This window comes from Homo sapiens, chromosome 8, assembly GCF_000001405.40.
Source record: "Homo sapiens chromosome 8, GRCh38.p14 Primary Assembly".
Classification (NCBI taxonomy): domain Eukaryota; kingdom Metazoa; phylum Chordata; class Mammalia; order Primates; family Hominidae; genus Homo; species Homo sapiens.
The window spans coordinates 126,322,774-126,331,968 of NC_000008.11; the positions used below are offsets into that span (position 1 = coordinate 126,322,774).

The following is a 9,195-nucleotide window of genomic DNA, read 5'->3' on the forward strand; positions in this document are numbered from 1 at the left end:
GAAAGATGGTAATAACCATTATAATAGACCTCAACAGTGTTATGAGAACCAAATAGGAGATTAATTTCTATTGGGGCAATCTGGGAAGGGCTTATGTGAAAGTTTTGAACTGGGCCTTGAAGTTTAGGTAGGTTGCAAAGCCAGTGTCCACCCTGTTCCTTTGGCCAATTCTGGCTAACTCTAACCACCTTTGCAGGTCAGCCTAAAGGTCACTTCCTCTTGCACATCTTCTCTGATGCAATCCCCCAACATACTCCCAATGTCCTTTTCCTATTATCACATCTTTTAATTGCCTGCCTTGCTATACACTCTAAGCCCCATAGTAAAAGGAACTCCTTTACTCAGCATTACATCTTCATGGTTTAGTACAGTACCTGACACAAGGAATTCAATCAATCAATAATGAATGAATGAATGATAGAAAAGTGGGGAGCAAAAGAGGAAATACCTAAACTGCTCTAAAATCAAGTCTCAAAAATTAAAAAAAATTGGAAACAGCAATGACGGTGTGGAGAAACACCAAAAGACATAAAAGAAAGGAAAATCAGGTGGGTACACCAAGTGTACATAGAGGCGACATTTGAATGGTTAAGTGTATCTTATACACAGGAGACATCATCAAAGAGAAGTTTCAAAGCCACTGGAGCCAGATTTTCAAGGGCCTTGAATCATAGTGCGTACTTTTTCCTTTCTGTCAGCAAGAGGAACCATAAGTTTCTTAATCAGGGGGATGGTAGCATTAGATTTGTGCTTTATGAAAGTCACTTCAGTTGCCAGGTAGTGGAAAGATCACAGGATGGGAGGAGAATAAAGGTGTGTAGAACTTTTAAGAAGCTACTAGAATTATCTAGTTCACAGTTTTTCAGCCTCTATGCTATTAACACTTTGGGCTGGATAATTATTTATTTGTGGGTTGTGGGTAGCTATTTTTTTACACTGTAGGATGCTTAGCAGCACCCCTGGCCTCTACTCACTTGATGCCTATAGTATTTGTCCCTAAGGTGGACACCAAAATTGTGTCAGACATTGCCAAATATCCCCCGAGGGACAAAATTACCCTCCATTGAGAATCACTGATCCAGGCAATGAGTAATAAACTATAATCAAATAAGATGGTTATTAGGATGAGAGAATGAGTCAGATACCAAGGACACTGAATGAAAGTGAATTCCCACCGAAAGCAACCATTTGTCCTTGTGCAACACAACAGGTGCACTGCCTGTGGGGGCAGGGCTCCTCAGAAGAAGGATAGACTCCTCTTACAATGACTTTTTTTCTCCTAAAACCATATGGATAGACAAGTTCTAGATATTTCCATCTATTACGTTGGATTTGGTAATCAAGAAGCCATACTTCTTTGACAGTGGAATTCTGATTCTTTTTGGCAGGGAGTGAACTCCTCCTGTTCCCAGTCCGTGGCCTTTGAGTGAGCTCCCATCCCTGGCTCCTAGGACGGGACAGCTAACACAGAGCTCCGAGTCAAGCAGACACAGTGGGTGCCATCCTGACACCTCAAGGGAACAGCACATCTGGGAAAAGTGTCTAATAGAGAAGAGGAGTCAAGAGAAGAAGGGGGAGAATCACAGCCCTGAGGACACCATCTATGTTCTGGAATTCTACCATGCTTAAAGGTAGGCCACCCGTGGACTCTTTAATTTAATGAGTCAAAAATTTGCATTTTGCTTAAGCCAGTTGGTTTGGATTATCTGAATAACTAAGGGTGGGTCACATTGTCCAAAGAAACTAGCAGTCTTCTGTAAATATCCAAGTAGCAGCATTATAGAATGTAGAAGGATCACTGGATGTAGAATCAGGCCTCAGAGCTGAATCTAAGCCCAGTCATACATTCTTGTATTTGTGTAATTATTAACTCACTGAATTTTTATTGAGTGTGTATTGTGTACTGGGCAATGAACTAGACTCTGGGGCCATCATGAGGCTGGTCTTCCCTGCAGAGAACTTACATTCTAGTGTTTAACTGATGAGTGTCAACCCTGATTGCATATTACAGTCACTTCTGGTAGTTTTTAAACATTCCGATGCTGGGGCTCCATGCCAGACAAGTTAAATAAGAATTTCTTGGGGTGAGACAGACATCAGTATTTATTGGAGTAATTCTAATGAAATGCTGGGGTCCTCTTTTCATTTTGCAGAGGAGGAAGCTAAGGCACAGAGAAGTTAATGTGCTCAAGACTATACCACTGGTGAGAGGCAAAGCAAAGATTTAAACCCACCTTGAGTTCAGAGTCTTCCCTCTTCTTAATAACTAAACTGCACCATAATTTGAAAGACACAGTAAGAAACACCATGGTATATTTAGTCCAATGTAATTTTATATGTGTGTATGTATATATATATATAATATATATGGTATATATTATATATATATGGTATTATATATATATAATATATATATGGTAAGTTTGTTTTCAGAATTCTCACCTTTTCCTTTTCCTTTTCTTGTTCCCATCCTCAACAATTTCAAACTCACACACATGTCTTCTGACATAGTTTGGCCGTGCCCCTGACCAAATCTCACCTTGAATTGTAATAATTCCCATGTTTCAAGGGCAGGACCAAGGGCAGGAACGTGGGGGCGATTTTCCCCATGCTGTTCTCGTGATAATGAGTGAGTCTCGCGATATCTGAGGGTTTTATAAGCATCTGGCATTTCCCCTGCTTGCACTTACTCCATTCTGCCGCCCTGTGAAGAGGGTGCCTGCTTTTCCTTTGCCTTCTGCCATGATTGTAAGTTTCCTGAGGCCTTCCCAGCGATGTGGAACTGTGAGTCAATTAAACCTCTTTCCTATAGAAATTACGCAGTCTCAGGCAGTTCTTTATAGCAGCGTGAGAATGGACTAATACACCTTCCCTATGCATAGATCTAACAAGTTCTCATCTCTGTCCTATTGAAAATATTCTTTCCAAAAATTATCTGCGACCCCTTATGTACAACTCAGAGTCATTTGTGCGTCCTTATCCAGTCAGAGTTACACTTGGACTTGGTGGTAGTGTGGTACAGCAGAAAGAGTTCTAGCTACAGAATTAGATGAAGATCTACAATCTCAACATTGTCACTCTAACTTAACTAACTCTGTAGTTTCTGGCAAATTACATAACACCTCTGAGCCCTGTATTCTTATATCTGAAGTGGGAATAATAACACCTCTTTTGCTATGTAGTTGTAAAGATTAAATTGAAATATACTTATTAACTTTTAGCATAGTGCCTCAAACATAGGAGACATTCAACTAATAGCAACTATCTCAATTAAGATTTCTCTAGATTTATATTTTCACATAGTGGAGGTTGTAAAAAATATGTAATAATAATTAAAACACCCAATATTTTCAATCACTTACTTTGTGCCTGACATTGGTATCATTATTTTACATGTATTTTCTCAGCTATTCCTAAAAAAACTTCATAATATTGGTACTACCATTTTCCACATTTTATAGATAAGAAAATAAAAGCAGAGCAATACCGCATGGCTCGCACAAGAAAGTATTGAAGACTTAAGTAATTCTAGCTCAAATCTTAGAAGTTTCCTTTTGGGGAACAAATATTTGCATTGTTATTACCATGTGCCAGGAATTTGCAGTGACTAATGTTTGCCTACATTGTCTCATTTAATTTTTACAATAAACCCACTTTACAAATACTGTGACAAAGGTTCAGAGAGACTATGTTGTTTGTATGAATGTAGTTAGAACACTTTTCTGTCTGATTCAAAGCTTATATGATTTCCCCTCTAGAAATGAAGGCTTAATTAAGAGTTTTGATTAATTGAGATTATACACACGCAAGAAAAAAGGCTTCATTTTGGATTTGAAAGCCCTAACTCACAGGGTAGGAATGTAATAAGTTCAATTTCTAAGTACACTATTTTGTTAGCCTCTAAGCACTGTTTTCTTCTTTGTTTGGCTAAACATTGCTACCTCTTCAGCACAGTTCTATCCAGAAAGCCTCCGCTTCTTGGGAGAACTCACTCAGCATCTCCCTCTTGAGTCCATTCCTTTTGCAAATACCAGCTACACTTGTCTAGTTTGTATTGGAAAGAGTTTCTCTATCTCAGATTAGAAAACTCTGCCTGCATTAAAAGAGAAATTCCAGCAATATGCTTGGATAGGGTAATCAGCCCAAGTCTATCACATTGAATTAGTGGCAAGATAGTTCCTATGACTTCATTAACTCTCCTATTATCAGCATTCATGTTGTCCAACTGAACCTCATCTAAATATTCCTGTAGAGCATCATTATTTAAGTTTAAAGGCACTTAAAATCAAGTCACACAATGGTTATGGATTGGAATCAGTGCAGGCTATTTATAGAAAAGCACTGAATAGACATATAGAATGGACAGAAGATGTGCTGTTTTAAAGCCTGCTGTATTTATGGCAACATCCCAACAAGGCTCATTGGGCACCTACTATGTGCAAGATACTAAATAATGCATTTCATTCTTTTTGCTGTACACAGGAAACCACACATTCAAAATAATGCTAACCTGTCAAGTTATTGATCTGCACTGTACATATTTCCTGGTCATAGGCAGCTTCCACACAAGAACATCTGGATGCAAATTAAAGAATTCAATTACTCAAGCCTAAGTGAGTATATCTATTTCCTGGTAGCTGGTAACTGACTTATAGTTGGCATCCTAGAGACATAGCCCAAGGCTATTTTGACAAACAATGAAGTAATAGATATTTTTTTTTATGCTGCTAAGGAAAAGATATTTGCAGTCATGCTTGACATTATTCAGGTAACCACCAAAACGTCCAAACTATAATTACTATTTGGTCACATTGAGATGCTACATAAGCCCTATGATTAATACGTCAGTGTAAAAAATCTGTCAGGATTTTGTCATAATATTGCCTGTTATTTTTCTGCTAGTAAATTTTATGAGACATATACTTATCCATGCATAAAACAGCTGTGGCAAGGTGGTAATTGTCCAGCAATAGGGGGAAGCCAGGAGTAGGTTTAGATTTTGGGTAACAGTAAATTTTAAAACACAGTTTTGAAATAATTTCTAATATAAAAATTCAATGTTAGAACTTTTATTTGGTAGCCTAGTCTCTGAAACAAGAATATACATTCAAACATCTTAAATGTAAAATGATAGGTCAATTTGAATTTTTTCTTCTTATTGACATGTTCATTTCACCTGATCTTTAGCCTCTCTGGATCCCTGGAATGCAAGGAGGTGAATTCATCATGTGTTTCATGAGGAAAGAAGGAATAAAGGAAAAGAGGGAGGGAAGGAGGGAGAAAGGAAGGGAAAAATGGGAATAGACACGCCTCTTCTTATATCCAAAAGACTTTGCTATGTAGCGTCATTCCCCTCTGTCAAGCAGCTTCCCACATAAAAACCATCTGTAAAGGGGAGGAGGTAGTAAAGCAAGTTGTTGACAATAATAGTCAAGTTCATCTCTGGCTTTGTCAAGAAGAGAAATGGAAAACAGAAGCTTAGGGTCGTTGATAATTTAAAATTAATTCAAATAATTCTGTATTGCTTTGCTCAGGTGATAGAGGAGACCTCGGCTACTCTGCCTGAGCACATCACTGCTGGATCTCAAAATCTGCAAGAACTTCCTAGGGCTTCAGGAACTTTCATGTGCATACCAGTCACCTGGGAATCTTGTTACGATGCATATTCTTTTTCAGTAAGCCCAAATTCTGCAATTCTTATAAGGTCTTAGGGGACATGATGTTTGCTTCTAGTGGTCCATGGTCTACTCCTGAAGGTCCACCATGCCCAGCTTCATCTCCCCACCCTCTGGAAACTCTCCTGTACCCAAGCCACTTGCTCTCTTCTAAATAGGCATTGTGTTCCCATGTTCCCATGTGTCTGCCTCTTTCAACTTCTCCTCTAAAAATTCTCCATGACCCCCAAGCATAAGCCTCCAGCAGCAAGCTCAAAAATGCTTTCTACTCTGTTGTGTTGCCCGGCCCACTTCAAGAGTAGATGCTCAATTCCTTCTTCCCCTAGTCGTATTTGCTGCTACTTTTGCAGGCTGCTGGAACACTTTCACTCTGAGGATTCTGATGAACACAGTTCTTGCCCTCTTCACTTTTCCAATCTGGTTGCAGGCACAGCGGGGGACAGCAGGAGTGCAACACAGTAACTTAATATAATATGGAGCTGCTATTATGGAGGGAAACATTCACTGCTCTGAAAGGACTCAACAGCTGAGTCTTAAAGAAGGATTTTACAAGATTGACAAAGAAATGGGTTATCTCCAGATAGGAAGGAAAAATCACAAGGAATAGTACAGCAAGGAAAGAGGAAACAGCACTGGACTTGGGGAAAAGGGAAATCCTTGAGATGTTGCTAAGGCATAAAGAGCAAGACAGAGAGTGTCAGAAGATGACACTGACGTCACCTGACTCCTGCTGCTGAGCTTCTCTGACATTTTCTCAAGGGCTCAAGGCTTGGATACCCTCTGATATGGTTTATCTGTGTCCCCGCCCAAATCTCACCTTGGTTTGTAATCATCTCCATGTGTCAAGAATGGGACCAGGTGGAGATAATTGAATCATGGGGGCAGTTTCCCACATACTGTTCACATGGTAGTAAATAAGTCTCATGAGCTCTGATGGTTTTATAAATGGGAGTTCCCCTGCACAGGCTCTTTTTGCCTGCCACCATGGAAGACACCCCTTTGCCCTTCCTTTATTTTCTGCCACAATTGTGAGGCCTCCCTAGCTATGTGGAATTGTGAGTGCATTAAACCTCTTTCCTTTACAAAATTACCCAGTCTTGGGCATGTCTTTATTAGCAGCATGAGGACAGACTAATACACCCTCTTTCAATACCTAAAATAGACAAAGCCCTATTTGGAATTTTGGAAAAACACAATCTAGTCTCCGAAGGTAGGCACAGAAGCTCTGAGCTGACACAATATTGAAGTCGTTACTTGCCTGGTCCTTAGGCATTTCCTAGTCCACAATCACACATCCACATCTTCAATAGCAGCAATTTCCATCTCCAGTCTTTGCTTTCCCCAGAAGCAGATCCTGAAGCAAGAAATTGAATGCAAGTAGTTTATTTGGGATGTGAAGACCAGTAGGGGAGTGGAGAAGTGAGACAAAGAAGGGAAGGCCATCAACACAGGGTGCGTTATCAAGCCAGCTATCAGTGTGGACAACTGTAGCTTACTCCCTTGAGGAATCCCTGGGAGTCAGTGTGAAACACAAATCCCTGAGTTACCCACCCACCCCTACCCCTAGAAGGGCAAGGGAGCTTGGTATGCAGGCATCCATTTCCACTAGTCATTGGCTGAGGGCTGCTAGTGCTGGGATGGTACAGAAGTTACTTCCCTGGCTCTTCCTGCCTGCTGTAGGTGGGAAAAGGGTCTCTTACAGCAACAGAAAGTCCTGAGGCAAAGAAATGCAGGAGCTGGCACCTGGAAGCCTTGGTGGGGTCGGGGGTGGTTTGAGCAGAGGGCCGCAAGGGTGCCACATGCCCCACAGAAAGCCTTCATCCGTTTGCCTGCCCCCTACCACACCAGCCCTGCTGTCCCAGAGTCTGACTTTCCTGATTCACTCTCCTGTTCTGTGTTTGGGGTTTTCCTTCAACTGAAGCTTCCCTCCCCACCAGCTACTCCAGTATAGCACACAGTGAAGTACTTAGAAAATGTTTGTTGAATTCTATCTGATGACTCAAATCCAATGGGCTACCTGGTGAATTTATTTTAACATGATCCTGAAATGAAACTGAGATGATTTTACACGAACTACTTATTTTATCTATAGGCCCACATTGATATTACTTCCTATTCCTCTGGTAATTGGTGAAACTGTGAGAGGAAATTTCTCTTTTTTTCTTTCTAAGCCAACATATTTTGATTCAATTATATCATCATGCTACACTCAGGGGGTTATATTACATTGCCTCTTCTCTGCCCCAATTGTGCACAATCCTGTAATATTAGGGAGGTTTTACTATAACTCCTAAGCCTCAAATATATTTCCCCAGTGGTTTGATTTTACATCCTCTTTTTGGGTTTTATAAATGGCATCAGATGTAGGAGCCTATGGTGCCAGCTGAAGTTTTTTCCTCTTAGCCATATTACCCATTTTCTGCTAACAGAAAAAAGCACTAATCTGTCCACTCCCAAAACATGTGTGTCAGGTGGCATTAATACCATCTGTGGCTGTAGCAGCAAGCATGTGACTCATGCCTGACCAATCAGAGCATCACATTGTTTTTGGCCACTGTGTGTGCATGTGACCCATTCAGAATCTGTGAAATACAATATGATATTTCCTAGAACTACTGAGAATACATTTTCTTCTTTTCTTCTGAACTTGAACCTGGCAGAAATCTTCCAGGAACTGCTGGCAGCCATCTTACTGTCAAACCCAAGCCTAAGAACAATGATAAAAGGAAGAGGAGCAGAACTAAGAGAGAAAGGGAGGCTGAGACTAGATGACAAATCCAGCTGAGAAAAGTTAGGGATCCTTCTGGCCTTGGTAGTTTCATGAAACAACAGACCACTTTTGGCTTCTGACAGTTTAGTTAGGTTTTCTGTCACTTGCAACTAAAAGATCTCTAACTGATACAGAACCTGACAGACCTGTCTATAAATCCCAGTCCTGCCTTTTGCTAGTTCAGTTTTTTAAGTTCAGTTTCATCTTTTCAATGGGGACAAAATATCCTTCTGACAGGGTGTTGTGAAGAAATAAAATGATATACGCAAAATCCTCTACACAATATCTGACCCAAATGTAGAAATCCATAAAAGTTAACTCCTTTTCTCCCTGTCCCCACCCTCCTCTCTGCCCTCCACACTGGCTTCCTCTGAGCACATAGCAGCCCAGGAAAGGGACATGTACACTGAGTGCATTCTGTCATTGATAAAGTCAGGGAAAATGAACATGGAAGCCCCATGATCAATATACCAGACTCCATGCTGAGGAGGGGAGTGATCCCCAGCTGGCCTCACACTGAGATTCAGGAGACTTGGGTCATTTTTGTGACTTGAACAATTTATTTCTCTTCTCTGGATTTTGTTTGCTTTTCTCTCAAATGGGAGGGATAGTATAAAGATGGCATCTAAGGTCCCCATCAGCTTTGAAATACACTAGGTCTCATTTCCTGAAATGAGACTCTAAAATCTCTGCACATGTGTTCAGAGCAGGACCAAGATGAGGATGAGATATGTGGGATGCCTAGGACAG

General features: G+C 40.6%; 1 long non-coding RNA gene across 1 annotated transcript; it reads left to right on the plus strand.

Annotated features, from left to right (window-relative positions):
* The first annotated feature begins 2,721 nt into the window (after positions 1 to 2,721).
* On the plus strand, positions 2,722 to 6,762 carry LOC101927657 (uncharacterized). The gene is made up of 3 exons (NR_125421.1): positions 2,722 to 2,784; positions 4,483 to 4,613; positions 5,535 to 6,762. It is a non-coding gene; the product is annotated as an uncharacterized LOC101927657 (long non-coding RNA).
* Positions 6,763 to 9,195: the final 2,433 nt, after the last annotated feature.